The sequence below is a fragment of the Homo sapiens genome, chromosome 21 (assembly GCF_000001405.40).
Source record: "Homo sapiens chromosome 21, GRCh38.p14 Primary Assembly".
Taxonomy (NCBI): Eukaryota; Metazoa; Chordata; class Mammalia; order Primates; family Hominidae; genus Homo; species Homo sapiens.
In genome coordinates, this window is record NC_000021.9 from 38,538,278 (window position 1) to 38,556,460 (window position 18,183).

Here is an 18,183-nt window from a genome sequence, read left to right on the forward strand (position 1 = left end):
ATTTAATACCACTCAACTGTACACTAAAAAATGGTTAGGATGATAAATTTTATGTATATTTTACTATAACAAAAAGTCATAAAAATCAAACATGGTTCTTCTCATTAAAAAAAAAAGAAGATTCCTGGGTCTAGTTGGTTCTCCCTCCTTCTTAGTTCTTGGATCAAGGAGATAGAATTGTGTCCAAAGTGACCAAGTGACCTACGGAGTAATGGGCTTCCATCTAGCCACTCCCTGCTTTATGACTGAGCTGCACTGGGAGAGGCATTGTCAGGGGAAATTCCAGGTTTCTAGAATTGGTATCTAGCCAGAATTTGTCCCAGGGCTAAGTGGCTAAGGCAGTGAACTAGTCTGTCAGCTTCTCTGTTTTAAATGGAGTCATGTAATTCCATTACATACCCTTTGCTTTCAACTATATGGCCAAACATGACTGGCCAGCAGGCTGGGGGACAGAAGACATGTGGGCTTGTGCTTGTTACCTGGAATTGAAAAGAGCTCTTGGCATGGTTCTTGTTCAAGCTCCATGGTTGACTAGCACATGACCACCAAGAGAGCTACTGTACTTCTCCGAGACTCATTTTCTCTTCTGTAAAAAATGACTGAGTTTCTTTCACAGTGCATAAATCTTTTCCTCCAGGAACAGAGACTGCCCAGGGCCTGTCCAAGACAACTAGGAAACCAGAGCAGCAGTTAAGCCATTCCTGGGCAGGAATAAATGAGCAGATGTCAGCTCTCAGAATCTCAGTTTTCTCACTCATAAAATGGAAAAGAATACTATTTCTTTTATGTCATTCACCATATTGTGAGCTGAAGGCACTTTAACGATGCTGAGGCTGTAAACTAATGCATAATGTGATGTTTATCATTCTTCACCTATGTTTTAGTTACTGAGCATCTCCTGACACCAGAGAGGACGCAACAAAAATCACAACTCCTAGAACTGCACAGTCTAAATGGCAACCACTAGCCCCTGTGACAACTGATCACTTGAAAAGTGAGTAGTCCAAATTAAGATGTGCTGTAGGTGCAAAATATATGCTGGATTTGGAAGATGTTCTATGAAAAAAGTATCTCATTAGTCATTTTTATATTGATTACATATTAAAAAGATTCCATTTTGGCTATGCTGGACTCTTCAGATATATCCTGGGAGATTGTATTAAAAGAAAATACATGATGGAAATTAGTGTAGGTAGTTACTAGAAAATGTAAAATTACATGATTCACATCCTATGTTCACTGTTCTAGACATATAAATATAACTTTGAGTTATTTTTAAGCATGAGAAGACAGAAATCGACGAATAAAGTGAAAAAGCTAAAGATTAAAGATACTTACAAATCATTGTTGTATTTTTTAAGAGGTCATTTTGAGCATATTCCTTACCATTGAAGCCCCTGCCTGTCTGGCTCCTCTGCCCACCTTGTTTTGCTAATGGGTCATGCTCCTATATGTGCATAGACGAGGAGCGGCTCTCAGGGACTGACCGTAAGCATAGTCAGCACAGCACGTATACCCATGCTCTGACCCCAGGTTGGCGTCTTGGAGGGTGAAGCATTTTCCCAGTCCTTCTTTGACTCATCACAGAGGTATAAAACAGCGTCTCCAACACGTGATTTTTTTTTTTTTTTTTTTTTGAGACAGAGTCTTGCTCTGTCGCCCAGGCTGGAGTACAGTGGCACGATCTTGGCTCACTGCAACCTCCAACTCCCAGGTTCAATCAATTCTCCTACCTCAGCCTCCCAAGTAGCTGAAATTACAGGCACACACCACCACGCCTGGCTAATTTTTGTATTTTAGTAGATACGGGGTTTCACAATGTTGGCCAGGCTGGTCTCAAACTCCCGACCTCAAGTGATCCACCCATCTTGGCCTCCCAAAGTGCTGGGATTACAGGCTGAGCCACTGTGCCAGTTAAAAGAAAAAAAATATTCAAACATATTTGGTTTCTTATTGAGGTGAAGTTCACATAACATGAAACTAACAGTTTTAAAGTGAACAATTCAGTAGCATTTAATTAACAATGTTGTCCAACCAACACCTCTGTCTAGTTCCAAACATTTTTGTCACCCCAAAAGGAAACCACGTGCTCAGAAGGCAGTCACTCCACATCACCCCTCTTCCTAGTCCTATGCTTTGCACACAACTGACTCACCCTGACAGTTATAACCTAAAAGTTAAATAAAATTATTAGTAAACTGCAAACCCCTGGCAAGTGAATTACTTAATATCTCTTAAAATCCTGACATCAAATGATTCCCCTGTGAGGCCATGAGATGATAAGAACATCCACCTCCCTCTCTTGCTCCAGTGGAATGAAACCCCCTCCTCAAGGAGGGTTACACTCAGGCATAGGCCCGATCACTCATCATATATTGACAGATGTGCAGGCCTGAGACCCCGCCTTCTGGAGCTTTCTAATGCTCCTTGTTTCTCAATCCAATCCTTGCTAGGAATTAGGCTCTTCTGCTGAATGTAAAATTTTTCCATCTGCCTCCATAAAGTATGTGCCACCTGTCAGCTGACTGGTCAACCCCAAGCTCAAAGTATATGGACATTTTGGGGGTGACAATGGTGGGCATACATCTTTAGCAAAGATTAAGAAGGTACCAGAGGAGGACCAGCACAACCCAGCAATGCAGCAGAATCCATCAGGAAAGCTTTGGCTCTGGGTGGAGCTCCTTGCTTTAGCTCTGCCTTTGAGCGCTTGGGTGGCTGGGGAGGCACTGGGGTGGAAGGGAAGGAAGCAGGAATTCGTGTGCTGCAAATTTCACTACACTTGACCACAACTTGGAGTGGAAAGGGCACTGTGGTACGTCTATCTGGCCTTCCTTTACAAGCCTTAAAATGCTGTGGAATCCATCTGGATGGAAGACGCCATCCAATTATAAATCCTTAGGATACTTTTTATTGCCCTTTAAGAGTTCCGATGCTTGCTCTTCCATGCCCATATGTTTCTGCTTAAGAGGCTTCATTCAAATCAAATTGGAAGAGAAGTCCAGATTACCCAACTACAATTACCTGAGCAAAAATCCCCTCAATTATCTTGGTAATCCAGATAAATTCGGAGTACAAAGGTGAGTTGCCTGGATAGCACTGGCTAAGAACTGCTTTGTCTCCCATTTCACCTTGCATTATTATAATCTACTTGATTACACTTCATTTATAACAATAGGGAGGGCTTGTTTTATGCCACACATTGCCACTTGCTCAAGTGTAAAATAAACCTTAAATGACTGATGTACTGCTAAATTTATCTCAAAAAACAATCATAACAGGAATCTTAAGGCAATAAAGTCAAACAAATAGAATTTTACAGAATTTAAAAATTATTTTGTGAGTGATTTATGCTAAAATACCTCAAATTTATTTCAAAAACAGTCTTACTTAAAACTGACTTAAAATATATGTAGGATAAATAATTTGTAGTGAATTTAACGAAACTTCAGCAATTCAAATGAATGCACATTATTCTTCTTAAAAACAGATATCCTGAAAATATCCATCAGGATAAATAGCTAATGCATGTGTGGCCTAATATCTAGGTGATGGGTTGATAGGTGCAGGGAACCACCATGGCACATGTTTACCTGTGTAACAAACCTGCACATCCGGCACATATATCCTGGAACGTAAAATTAAATTAAATTTTTAAAAAGCAGATATTTGGAAAGTACCAATAGCTTCAAAGTAAAAATACTCTACACTGTTTTTGTTTGTTTGTTTATTTTCGTTTTTGTTTTTCTTTTTTGAGATGGAGTCTCGCTCTGTTGCCCAGGCTGGAGTGCAGTGGCGTGTTCTCAGCTTACCACAACCTCTGCCTCCTGGGTTCAAGTGATTCTCCTGACTTGGCCGTGCCACCATGCCCAGCTAATTTTTTTACATTTTTGGTAGAGATGATGGGGTTTCACTGTGTTGGCCAGGCTGGTCTCGAACTCCTGACCTCGTGATCCACCCGCCTCAGCCTCCCAAAGTGCTGGGATTACAGGCGTGAGTCACCGCGCCTGGCCTATGCACTGTTAATTTTATCACGACAGTTATAAATCCATCAAGATGTCCTGTGATTTTTCAACACAAATTACTCAAATTATGAACTTCTCTGTGTGTATTTTCCACTGGCTTGTTTATGAATCCTGCTGATATGTCTGCTACAATTTCTCCAAAGGCTAAAAGATGTTTACAGGACAAATGACATCATGACCATGTCAGGCTTAAATGTGTTTATATCAGTTGGGTTTAGAGGGTCTTCAAAACATGGCTTTAAAATCTCAGTTATTATGGAGCTTAATGTGTTCCTGATGTTTCTGGAGTAATGTATTTCTAAAAATAGAGAAATAGATTGGTTAAAAGAAAATGAATTGTTGGTCTAATCTGTCTTATGCATGGCTAACGAAATGCATTTTCACTCTCTTCCGTGATAATACGACACTTAAAACTGTGAGGACCAATGGGGTGATAAGAGACAAAATAAACAGTAAATAGATACTCCATGTGAGTTACTACTCTGTAATAGATAGAAAAGATATTTTATAGAAAAGGGAAAATACCCACAGACATATAAGCAATGTCCTGTGGTTGCTATCAAATTTACTGTTAGCTGTTTAAAACTGCCTTAAAGGTTTTTTAAATGTGTCTTTTCTACCATAGATTCTTTAGACGACAGCCATCAAGCAGCAAATACCTCGCAGGAGGCCATTGTGTTTCTATTTGAACTTCTATGGATGTCAAGCTCTGTTCTTCAAAATTTAGCCCTACAGATGGGTGGCCCACCGGAGAGAATTAATCTCACTATGCAGCCAACACTACCCTTTCTGGATCTTTCCCCAGTAGTGTGGATTCTGCTCTAGTCCAGAATTATGCAGAATAAGTATACTTCATCTTAGACACCATAATTCTTCAAATATCTAAAATGTATATTATGCTCTCCAAATCCTGGTCATCTCCAGGTTAAGTATCTCTCAAAAACAGTCCATCAGATAATATGATTTTAAATCTTTATCCCCTTGGTCATATACCCACAATCTCATTCTATTTACCAATATCCCTACTGATGCATAAACTACATATGTATATGTGTGTTTTTTTTTAAAAAAAAAGCAATTCCACTGTAATTTTAGCAGAGGTTATTTCCACATAGAGCTATGTATATGTGTATATACACATATCTTTATATTATATAGTTTTCTGTGCTTTCCCAGTTATCTACAATGGGCATATATGACTTTTATAGCCAGGTAATTCAATATTCATTCATTCAGTGAACATCATTGAGCATCCACTATGGGCTGGGAAGTGAGGATGGAGCCACAAACAAGCAAAATAAAAACCCCTGCTCTTGTGGAGTTCCCTTCTCATTGGAAGAGACGTACAGTAAAGAAAAAAATAAAAGAGTAAAGTTAATAGCCTGTGAGAAGGGGATATAAAAGTGGGAAGGAAGACAGGGTGATGTGTGAGAAACACTTTTTTTTTTTTTTTTTCAGATGAAGTCTCACTCTGTTGCCCAGGCTGGAGGGCAGTGGCTCGATCTCAGCTCACTGCAACCTCCACCTCCTGGTTTCAAGCAGTTCTCCTGCCTCAGCCTCCCAAGTAGCTGGGACTTCAGGCATGCACCACCATGCCTAGCTAATTTTTATATTTTTAGTAGAGACAGGATTTCACCATGTTGGCCAGGCTGGTCGTCTCAAACTTCTGACCTCAAGTGATCTGCCTGCCTTGACCTCCGAAAGTGCTGGGACTACAGCAATGAGCTGCCAAGCCCGGCCTGGGGAACACTATTGAATAGTGTGGTCAGGGAAGGCTTTACTGTGAAGGTGATGAAGACCCAAAGAAAGTGAGGAACTAAGTCATAAATGATGGGTAGAACATTCCGGATTGCGGGAGCAGCAAGTGCAAAGGCCCTGGGGTGAGGAATACCAAGAATGTTTGTGTGGGCAGAGCAGAAAGAACCAAGGGTAAAGCATTAGGAGATGAGGCTGAAGAAGTAACCGGGATCAGGTGGTTAGGGCCCTCAGGCCCTGGAGGAAGGCTGGCAGCGCTGGAGCCACATGGACTGACAATGTCTAGCAGTCATCCCGGCTCCCTGTGAAGAACAGACCCTCGCTTGCAGAGAAGCGAGGACAATTAGGAAAGCAGAGTCATGATCCACGCACAGGATCACGGTGACTTGGACCAGAAAGAGAGCAGTGGAGCTGGGGAGTGACTCTTTTCAGTATTTCTCAGGTGGTACCAGTGGGATCTGCAGAGAATACATAGTTAAAGGAAATGTCTGGAACTAAACATGACTCTTCAAACGTGATCCTACTGTGGCAGAAGAGAGGCGACTTTACATTTCCTTTCCCAGGATATCTTATTCTAATGAACACAGAAACCGTAAAATCAAGCCAACCAACATGATGAAAATGATTATATAAGGTACACAGCCCAGGCTGGATTTGAACTGATGAGGGAAAAAAAATCTCTAGTGAAAATTCCTCTCTCTAACCACAGCCTTCTCTCCTTCCATCTCTGCCTCACCCTTGCTCTTTCTGAAGCCTTCCTGGATGCTCATGAAGCTCTCTCCTTCTTTGACTCATCCTATTTTCCCAGGACCTTTATCAACTCAGGGCTCTTCTCCCCTCCCCACAGTCAGCTCACTGTGCTCTGACTAGTTCCCTGAAATTGCTCATCCTCTTACTAACCAGGAAGCTTCTACCCGCTCTTGGTCTTCTTTCTCCACCCCAGTGCCAAAGAACTAAGCACTGATGGAGAAAAAGCATGCGGCTAATACTGTCTGTCTCTACCACAAATCTCATAATTTTTAAAATCCATTTGGAATTTACATTCACTCCTTAACTTCTTTTCATTCACTCCTAATTCACTTCCTATATAATTCTCTACACAGCTGCTGAAAACCTTCCTTTCTGCTGCCTCTTACCCCAAAACTACTCTCACATTACTCACAAAGGTTGACCTTGTTTTCTATATACTTTTTTAGAGTAACGAAGCCATAAAATGTAAGTTCTTTCAACCTGGACCTCCCACTCTTGGGATTTCTCAATAGCTTCACCTGTATTCTCCCCCTTCACTCTTGACTCAGAGGTAAACGCTCCCTTGCTCCCAAATCCTTTAGCAACGTAGGGTTGATAATTGCTCCTTTCCAAATTTAATCCCTGCATCTGCGCCCCTGAGACAGACACTGCCATGATTTCCCAGCTTGCTGTCTTCTCCCTCCTGCATCTCCTCCCTTTCTCTGTGACGGATATTTTCCCTGTGCAAGAGAAATTTCTTCTGCCCTAAAATAAATAATCCAAAACATCTCTTGACTCCACTTAAGCTAACATTCAATATCTCACTTTCCCTTGTATTAACAAAAGTTAATTGAGTCAGTACGGTGCTACAATTCTCAGACACAACGATAAACATGATAGAGACCATCAACATGCCTTGGCATTTTGCCTGCTTTCTCTTCAATTACTTGCAACTTGGCTTCTACTGAGCTCCACTGAAAAAGCTTTCATGACATGACCACATCCAATCCCAAAGAAACTGTCCCCTTGCCCAGTGGTCTTCAAAACCCTCCAACTCCACAGTGTCTCATTAACTCCAACTCATTTCCTACTAAACATCTCTTCTCAGCTCTTCAAAGTCAAAGATTGCGAACCAAATCTACAGACTTCTCCTCTCTTCTCCTTTGGGTCCAACTCCATCCTTCTCCATGAAACTTCTTATTCCTAGAAATGGTGTCTGCACCTTTTAGGCTTCCAGGCTTGAGCCTAGAGTCATCTTTAACTCTTTCCATACCCAGACTCCCAAGACCCAGTCAGCTGTTTAGGTGTCTCCTCTGTATGCAGCACTTACTGTCATTGCCCTGGTCCATCTCCCAGAGCCCACATCTTGTCCCACTGTCTGCAAAGCCTTTCCTATATGCTGGATATAAGTGCAAACTCCCCCTAAAATCCCATTGAAGTTTTTACTTTTTTCTATCTTCTTTTTTTACTTCTTTTTATCTTCCTCTACTCACACAGAAGTGCTCCAATTATGAGGACCTTATTTTATTCCCTTTACTGTCAAACACAAAGCCAACATGCCATACGAAAAGATAGTACTGTGCTTCCTTCAGTGCCACTCTAGCACGCCCACTCCAGCACACCCTTCTTGTGCGGGTGTATGCTCATGTGATACTATCACAGGCAACACTTACTATGCAATACGTTTTCCACAATCACAATATTTCCACAATATTGTGATATGAGCTCATTCTTCAGGCCTTGACACAAGCGCCCACAAACCTAAGAGAATGCATTTTCATTTTTATGATACACAGTTTTCGACTGCTCCACTCTGGCTGCCAAGGCATTCCTCCTCCAAATCACGATGTCTATATCAAAAGAAGAACAATGAGGGAGAGCTGGAGGTAGCGCTAAGAAACAACCTGGTCCAGCTCCCAGGTCTCATAGAGAACACTCAGAACACGCTTGTTAGAGGTATCTGCTCCTGGCCTCAGCTTCTCAGAAGCAATTACACATCTTCTGGGTAAACGTGGAGTGTGCAGCACAGAATACCAAAGCTGAGCTTCCCATTGTACCTGGTTGTTGATCTCCTCGTTGACCTCCCTCAGCTGAATATTTCTTAAGAACAGTGTTCAATTAATCCAACTATCCCTGGTGGCTGGCAGGATGAATCAGTTATGACTTATTTCATGTTTGTGGGTGGGTGTATGAAGTGGTCCTCAAAGGAGATTTTTGCTCTCTGCAGACAGTCTGCCTGTCTGTAGGTCACTTCCTGCCATTTCCTTTGAGTGGGAATATGAGCCAGGGTGTTGGAAGAAGGAAGAGTCCAAAAGATGTCTCAGGGAATGTCCCATAGCCATTGGCCTGGTCTGCCCTAGATAACTTCTGAGCCAGGTCACCCTAAAGTGCTACATGAAAAGTCATGGATTTTTTTTCTAACTTGTTGATCTCAAATGTCGTGATTTGGCATGAATATCTAGCTTCCCATGTTGCAGCTATGGATTTATTCTTGCCAAAATATTGGGGATTGGGCTGGAGAGGGAAGAAGGTACGAAGATGCATTCTGTGTTGCTCAACAAGATCTGCATGGCCTCAACCAATGCGTGTTTGACCATATGGATATTTACAAACCCCACCATCAACTCACCAAAATGAAGAGTGTCTTAGACTTATTCTCACAAGACAAGAGGGAACGCTGCCTCTAAGGAGTCTCTCTGGGACACCTGGGAGAGATTTATTTAATGGTAAAGCAAGGAAAGGAAAAGATGAACAGTGACCTGCAAATCATTAAAGAGGGCGACTCGATCATAGGCAAGGGCTTTTATTAGTGCTAAAATTCCACTTCAAAGTTTGCTGATTCATGGATGCTTTTTGTTTTGCTGTTTATGTTGTAGAAACTGATTTGATTTTCATAGACAAAATAACTAGGCATTTATAACCACATATAGGTATGAAAGAAAGATAAAATGATGCCCTTAGCCCAGTCAGAAATACTCTTAACCATCAAAATAGTTCCCTGAATCTAATAGGCCAACAATATTCCAACACCAGAACCTTTGCTACCATAGCCAGAATTTTTAAGACTGCACCACTGTTAAGTAGAGGCAATTTTTAATACTTAGGGTCTAACCACAAGGCATAAAATGCAAAAAAAATTACATAATCCTGTACTTTTTAATAATTAAATGAAAATACATAGACTCTAAGCAGGAAAATATCTGAGATCCTTAAAACGGTATAATCATAATTGTTCTACATTGGTAATATGTGTGATGATATTTTTCTCCAAAAAAAATTCTCTACCATTTCATTCTCTTTAATTTCTTCTAGCCCGTAAGGTCTAGCAAAGAGGAATACCTGAAAAGATGCAAATTGTACCCCTGTGCTGTTCAATGACAGCAAAAATTGCAGCTCCCCAACCCCACCTCTTATGTCCCCTGAGCAATCTGTGATCACTTGAGGGTGAGGACAGTATATTGCCCCAATAAACTGGCTTTCCACCAAGTACCACCAAGAAATCAAAACAGCTTTTATTTTATTGTGTCATCATATATAAGTTAATAGTTCATAATTAGTTCAAAATTTAAAATTATGTTCTAAAAATAAAGCTTTCTAAGTCAATGTAGGCAACGATTCCAAGATCCTTATAGTTTTCCTCTCTTAAACAGAGACCATTATCATATGATTTTTTTTTTTTTTTGAGACGGAAGCTCACTCTGTTGCCCAGGCTGGAGTGCAGTGGTGCGATCTCTGCTCACTGCAAGCTCTGCCTCCTGGGTTCACGCCATTCTCCTGCCTCAGCCTCCCAAGTAGCTGGGACTAGAGGCACCCGCCACCACGCCCGGCTAATTTTTTTTTTTTTTTTTTTTTTTGCATTTTTAGTAAAGACCACGTTTGACCGTGTTAGCCAGGATGGTCTCGATCTCCTGACCTCATGATCTGCCAGCCTTAACCTCCCAAAGTGCTGAGATTACAGGCGTGAGCCACCGTGCCTGGCCAGTCATATGATTTCTAAAGAGAAACTGAACAGTTATTTGTAGAAACTCTGCAAAGCATGACTTTGGGACGGGCACAGTGGCTCACGCCTGTAATCCCAGCACTTTGGGAGGCTGAGGCGGGCAGATCACGAGGTCGGGAGATCGAGACCATCCTGGCTAACATGGTGAAACCCCGCCTCTACTAAAAAAATACAAAAAAATTAGCCAGGCATGGTGGTGGGCGCCTGTAGTCCCAGCTACTTGGGAGGCTGAGGCAGGAGAATGGCGTGAACCCAGGAGGCGGAGCTTGCAGTGAGCCAAGATCGCACCACCGCACTCCAGCCTGGGCAACAGAGCAAGACTCTGTCTCAAAAAACAAAACAAAACAACAAAACAAAACAAAACAAAAAAGCCATGCCCAAGCCCACCCCTGACCAGTGAAATCTCCGGGATTGGGGCACAGGTATAATGTTTTTATAAACATCTTCCTAGATGTTTCCTGCATCCAGGGTGATAAATCATCATACTAAAGGCATCATCTGAAGGCTCCTAGAGTATAGAGAAGTTCAGAATAAGGACCCCAAACTATTGCACATCCTGACACTAACTAGCTGTAGCTGTGCACCCTGGACAGGGAGAGATCTAAACAGCTAGTTATCTTACTTCACCGAAATCTACAACTAAAGATGTCTATCCACGTGTTATAGCTTTGGCTTCCCTAATCTAGATGTTCAATCTACTTTTCTGCAATTTGGCAAAGTAAAACACACATATACAGTAATGCACAATGTCCTGATTGTTGGGGTTTATTATTTGTTTTGCATTTACGCTTCTTAGGTATGTAACATGCCAAAGTCATGGGAGCTGAGTCTTTTGAAACAGAGGCTTCTTTGGGTGCAAATATTAATTTTCTATGAAAAAAAGAGAAAGTACAAAGAAAAGAAAAAACAGCAGTAATACAGAAATGAATATCTTCCTTGTCTAGGACACAGTGTTTTTTTTAACCTAGATTTCTTTGAACACAGACTGACACAAAAATTAAATACTATTGCTCCATTGGAGAGGTGCAAACCTGGGGCGGTGAGAGTGAGGGGAAGCGAGTGAGATTGTCACTACACTAGCTTCTGGGGACATGGAGACAGCCAGTCACTGAGCCCCTGCCTTCCCTTGGCCATGCAGATGCCTCTGATAGGTTACACGGAAAAATTCTACCTCACAGCAGCCCATGGGGTGGAGGAAAAATAGGAACTTAGTTGCCTACATTCTTCCTGCATCCCCTTCCTCATTGGTCAGAGTCACCCTGCATGTCTGGGTTGTCACCTGCTCCCAAGGTGACCACTCCAAAAGTCAGGTTCTACGCCCGGTGGTGGGGTGCTTCATCCAAGTACAGAAATGCCAAGAGGATCCGGAAACCTTTTGACCTGGTTGCTGAGTCACAGGAAAGAAGGGCCAGCCCTCCTGGGACAGGTAACAGGCTGGCCCTGAGCTGTGGAAGCCCTCACACCCAGAAGGAGTCAATCTGCTGGGGTGGCCACTGAGACCAAGCAGGAGCTGAGGGTCCTGGAGTAATAGATGGAGGCCCATGAGATGTGTTCAGACACATAGTGTGTTTGTCAACTGCAATGTGTGTGTGCCCCCAAAATTCATGGGTTTAAATCCTTACCCCCAAGGTAGCAGTATGAGGAGGAGGGGCCTTTGGAAGGTGACTAGGTCATAAGGATGGAGGTCTCATGAATTGCATTAGTACCTTTACAAAAGGGACCCCAGGGAGATTCCCTCACCCTTTTGTCACAGTGTGAAGACCCAGCAAGAAGATGGACATCTATGAATCAGGAAGAGAGCCCTCACCAGAACCCAACCCTGCTACACTCTGATCTCAGACTTCCAGCCTTTAGAACTGTGAGAAATAAGTTTCTGTTGTTTATATGCCACTCAATGTATAGCACTTTGTTACAGCAGCCCAAGCTAAGACAGCCTATTATGTATGAGCAGGTGGCTTTGAGATAATTGAGAAAACAGAGACTATAACTACAACCAGCCAGAGATGGGATCATTGCAAATGGGACTCGGGTTCACACAAGGTTTGTGACACACACACAAAAAAACATAAGGCAGATAAATCAGCAAGGGTAGCAGTCAGGAATTGACAGACGATTAATGGATTGAGGAAACAGAATAGATAATTTAAAAGCAAACCTTTGTACACAAAAGAATTCAGGAGGTGATAAAAGTAACATTTTCATATCAGTTGGAAAGTAAGTTATTCAATAGCAACAGAACAATCATTTATTGAGGAAAAATAACTATTTCTTTCCTGGTTCAATCTTGGGGTGTTGTATGTTTCCATAAATTTATCCCTTTTTTTCTGGGTTTTCTAATTTTTGTGCACAGAAATGTTTTTTAATAGTCTCTGAGGTTTTTTTTTTATTTCTGTGGGTTCAGTGGTAATGTCCCCTTTGTCATTTCTGATTATGCTTATTTGGATCTTCTCTCTTTTTTCTTTATCAGTCTAGCTAGTTGTCTATCAATCTTATTTATTCTTTCAAAAAACCAACTTTTATTTTTGTTGGTCTTTTGCATGGTTTTTTTGTATCTCAATTTCATTCAGTTCAGCCCCGATTTTGGTTATTTCTTTTCTTCTGCTAGCAGTAAGTTTGGTTTGCTCTTGTTTTTTCTAGTTCCTCCAGGTGTGACATTAGGCTGTTAATTTAAGATCTTTCCAACTTTTTGATATCAGTGTTTAGTGCTATAAACTTTCCTGTTAACATTGCTTTAACTGTATCCCAGAGATTCTGGTATGGTGTATCTTTGTTTTCATTTGTTTCAAATAATTTATTGATTTCTGTCTTAGTTTCATTGTTTACCCAAAAGTCATTCAGGAGCAGGTTGTTCAATTTCCATGATTTTGAGAGATATTCTTAGCATTGATTTTATTTTTACCGTGCTGTGGTCTGAAAGTACGGCTAGTATGATTTCAGGGTTTTTTTTCATTTGTTGCAAATTGTTTTATAGCCAAGTGCGTAGTCAATTTTGAAGTATGTGCCACGTGTAGGTGAAAAGAATGCATATTGTGTCGTTGTTGGGTGCAGTGTTCTGGAGATGTCTGTTAGGTCCATTTGGTCAAGTGTCAAGTTTAGGTCTCAAATATGTTAAGTTAGTTTTCTGCCTTGATGATCTATCTAATACTGTCAGTGAGATGTTGAAATCTCCCACTATTATTGTATGGTTATCTAAGTCTCTCACTAGGTCCCTAAAACTTGATTTATGAATCTGAGTGCTCCAGCATTGGGTGCATACATATCTAGAACAGTTAAGTCTTCTTGTTGAATTGGACCCTTTATCATTATATAATGCCCTTCTTTGTCTTTTTTGATCATTGTTGGTTTAAAGTCTGAAATTGAAACGCTGAACAGACCAATAACGAATTACAAAATTAAATCAGTAATATAAAGACTACCAACCAGAAAAAGCCCTAGACCAGAGAGATTCACAACCAAATTCTACCAGATGTATAACAAAGAGCTACTACCAATCCTACTGAAACTATTACAAAAGATTTAGGAGGAAAGACTCCTCCTTAACCTCATTTTATGAGGCCAGTATCATTTTGATACAGAAACCTGGCAGAGACACAATAAGAAAAGAAACTTCAGGCCAATATTCATGATGAACAGGGATTTGGAAATCCTCAACAAAATACCAGTAAACCAAATCCAGTACCACATCAAAAAGCTAATCCACCATGATTAACTACACATTATTCCTGGGATGCAAGGTTGGCTCAACATATGCAGATCAATAAATGTGATTCATCCCATAAACAGAACTAAACACAAAAACCACATGATCATCTCAATAGCTGCAGAAAAGACTTCCAATAAAATTCAACATCCTTTCATGTTTAAAACACTGACAAACTAGGCATTGAAAGAACATACCTCAAAATACTAACAGCCATCTATGACAAACCCACAGCAACACTGTACTGAACAGGAAAAGCTGGAAGCATTCCCCATGAGAATTGAAACAAGCTAAGGATGCCCACTCTCACCACTCTTAGTCAATATAGTACTGGAAGTCCTAGCCAGAGCAATCAAGCAAGAGAAAAAAAAAAAAAAGAAACAAAATACATCCAAATGGGAAGAGAGGAAGTCAAACTATCTCTCTTCACAGAGGACGTGATTTATGTCTGGAAAACCTCATTGTATCTGTCTAAAAACTCCTGGATCTGAAAAACAATTTCACAACGTTTTAGGATACAAAATCAATGTACAAAAATCAGTAGCATTTCTAAACATCAACAATGTCCAAGCTGAGAGCCATATCAAGAATGCAATTCCATTCAAAATAGCAACAAAAAAAATACAATACTTAAGGGTACAGATAACTGGGGAGTGAAAATCTCTATGACAAGTATTACAAAACAAAGATCAAAGAAATCAGAGATGACACAAAGAAATGGAAAAACATTCCATGCCCATGGATAGGAAGAATCAATATTGTTAAAATGGCCATACTTCCCAAAGCAACTTATAGATTCAATGCTATTTCTATCATATTACTAATTACATTTTCACAGAATTAGAAAAAACTATTTGGAAATTCATATGGAACCACAGAAGAGCCTAAATAGCCAAAGCAATTCTAGGAAACCAAAAAGCTGAAGTATCACACTACCTAGCTTCAAACTATGCCATAAGGCCACAGTAACCAAGACAGCATAGAACTAGTACAAAAACAGACACATAAACCAATGGACTAGATTAGAGAACCCAGAAGTAATGTCACACATCTATAGTCATCTAATCTTCAACAAAGTAGACAAAACAAGCAATGTGGAAAGGATTCCCTATTCAATAAATAGTGCTTGGATAACTAGCTAGCCATATGCAGAAGATTGAAACTAGACTCTTTCATTTTACCATATACAAAAATCAACTCAAGATGGATTAAAGACTTAAATGTAAATCATACAACTATAAAAACCTAGAAGAAAACCTAGAACATACCATTCTGGACATAGGCCCTGGCAAAGATTTCATGACAGACTCCAAAAGCAATGGCAACAAAAACAGAAATTGACAAATGGGACCTAATTAAACTAAAGAGCTTCTGCACAGCAAAAGAAACTATCAATAGAGTATACAGACAATGTACAGAATAGGAGAAAATATTTGCAAATTATGCATCCAACAAAGGTCTAATATGCAGAATCTATAAAAAAAAACTTAAGCAAATTAACAAGCAAAAAACAACTTCTTTAAAAAAAATGGGCCAAAAAAACATGAAAAGACACTTCTCAAAAGAAGACATGTGTGACCAACAAGCATATGAAAAAACGCTCAACATCACTAATCACTAGAGAAAAGCAAACCAAAACCACCATGAGATATCATGACACACCAGTCAGAACGGCAATTTTAAAAGTCAAAAAATAACACATGTTGGTGAGGCTGCAGAGAAAAAGGAACAGTTATATGCTGCGTGTGTGAATGTAAATTAGTTCAGACACTGTGGAAAGCAGTTTGGAGATTTCCCAAAGAACTTAAAATAGAACTACCATTCAACCCAATAATCCCATCACTGGGTATATAAAGGAATATAAATTGTTCTACTGTAAAGACACCTGCATTATTCACAGCATTATTCACAATAGCAAAGACATAGAACCAATCTAGAAGTCCATCAGTGGTGGACTGGATAAAGAAAAAAATGTGGTACACAAACATTACAGAATACTACACAGCCATAAAATAGAATGAAATCATGTCCTTTGCAGTAACATGAATGGAGCTGGAGGCCATTATCCTAAGGGAGTTAACACAGGAGCGGAAAACCAAATACCACATGTTTTCACTTATAAGTGGGAGCTAAACACTGAGCACACATGGACACAAAGAATGGAATGATAGACACCAGGGGCTGCTTGAGGGTGGAGGGTAGACGAAGGGTGAAGATTGAAAAACTACCAATTGGGCACTATGCTTATTACATGGTTTATGAAATAATCTGCACACCAAACTCTCATGGCATGCAATTTACCCACGTAACAAACGTACACGTGTACCCCCGAACCTAAAATAAAAGTTAGAAAGGAAAAAAAAAAAACTAAATCCCTATCTCACATTATACATCTAAAAAATCCAAATAGATTAGATTTAATTAAAAATTAAACCATAAAACACAGAAAGAAAATACAGATGAATAGTTATATAATTTAGGATGAGAACAGCCTCTGTCAGGATGAACTAAAGAATTCACAAAAAAAAATGTTAACAAATTAAATGACATGTTAAAAATCTGGCCAGGGGTAGTGGTTCACACCTGTAATCCCAGCACTTTGGGATGCTGAGGCGGGCGGATTACCTGAGGTCAGGAGTTTGAGACCAGCCTGGCCAACATAGTGAAACCTCGTCTCTACTGAAAGTACAAAAATTATCCAGGCATGGTGGCACACGCCTGTAATCCCAGCTACTCAGGAGGCTGAGGCAGGAGAATTGCTTGAGCCCGGGAGACGGAGGCTGCAGTGAGCTGAGATCATGCCACTGCACTCCAGCCTGGCTGACAGAGGGAGACTCTGTCTCAAAAAAAAAAAATTAAGAAACTATATATTGAAAGACTATAAAAAATAGTTTTGGTTTTTTTCTCAGTAAAAAAATAATATATCCATTGTCAAAAATTTTCTATTTTCAATATTATTATTTAATAGAAAAATTTCAACAATTTCTGGAGAAAATATATGAAACACATTTGACAGAGTTTTAACATCCTTAACATAAAGGATGTAACTTATATGTTACATCCTTAACATAATTTTCTTTGTTCAGTTAACAAGTTTTTATTGAGTATCTATATTGAAATATGCACTATGTCTGACACTGGCAACACATTTGAGGAAATAAAGAAGAAAAATTCAAGTCCACATGGAAAAATGGACTAAGGACATGAAAAAGTATAAATCATCAGTACACTTCTAATAAAGTTAATAATCAAAGAAATGCAAATAAATGTGACCTATCAAGGTCTTGCTATTTGTACTGTCAAATTATAAAAATACAATAACAAATATTGGCAGATATTGGGGAAACAAGTAATGTCATATACTGGTATGTGCTTAAACTGGTAAAAGTCTTCAGAAAGGAAATTGGAAATATATGTAAAAATTTTGGACAGTTGCATATTCTTTGTTCTAGAAATTCTACTTATATGATTAGAACCTAAGGAAGTTATCATAGATTTAATCAAAGATAGTTACAGGATATTCAACATAGCCCTGTATATAACAGCCAAGAATCTGAAGCCAACAAAAAATATTTAGCTTAAAATGTATAGAATATACATAGGATGAAATTGCATAGGTCACTAAACAGTTTCTAGGGACATGGAAAAAAAAATGCCATATTGCAGAAATGCAATATTTTGGGATGATAAAAGGGCAGTTTCAAAAAATTGAAAAAATAGCAGTTACTATGACCTCTTTTGGCAAAAATAATTATATGTAATATTGTTCATGGAAAAATAGACTGGAAATATAACGATTAAAATGTTAATTGTATCTGGGTTGGTGAGATTACATATAATTATTATATATAATCTTTACTTTTTTAGATTGTTGTTCACAGTGACATCAAGATTTGTCATGGGAGAAAAAATGAAGAAGATTATTATTTTGTAGTCACCCAAGGAGAGAAGAAGTCACATCTCTGGAGATAGGAGGA

General features: G+C 39.7%; 1 protein-coding gene and 1 long non-coding RNA gene across 9 annotated transcripts in view; one reads left to right on the forward strand and one right to left on the reverse strand.

Moving 5' to 3' along the window:
• Window positions 1–5,322, forward strand: part of LOC105372802 (uncharacterized) — a 39,782-nt gene extending 34,460 nt beyond the window's left edge. Inside the window, exons 2-4 of one of the 2 annotated variants that reach the window (XR_937712.3) lie at window positions 885–994; window positions 2,967–3,077; window positions 4,648–5,322. This is a non-coding gene — a long non-coding RNA (uncharacterized LOC105372802). The remainder of the gene's footprint in view (window positions 1–884; window positions 995–2,966; window positions 3,078–4,647) is intronic. The other variant, XR_937711.3, reaches the window with a different exon arrangement.
• Window positions 1–18,183, reverse strand: part of ERG (ETS transcription factor ERG) — a 294,523-nt gene that overhangs the window by 171,017 nt on the left and 105,323 nt on the right. The gene's annotated exons all lie outside the window — the stretch shown is intronic.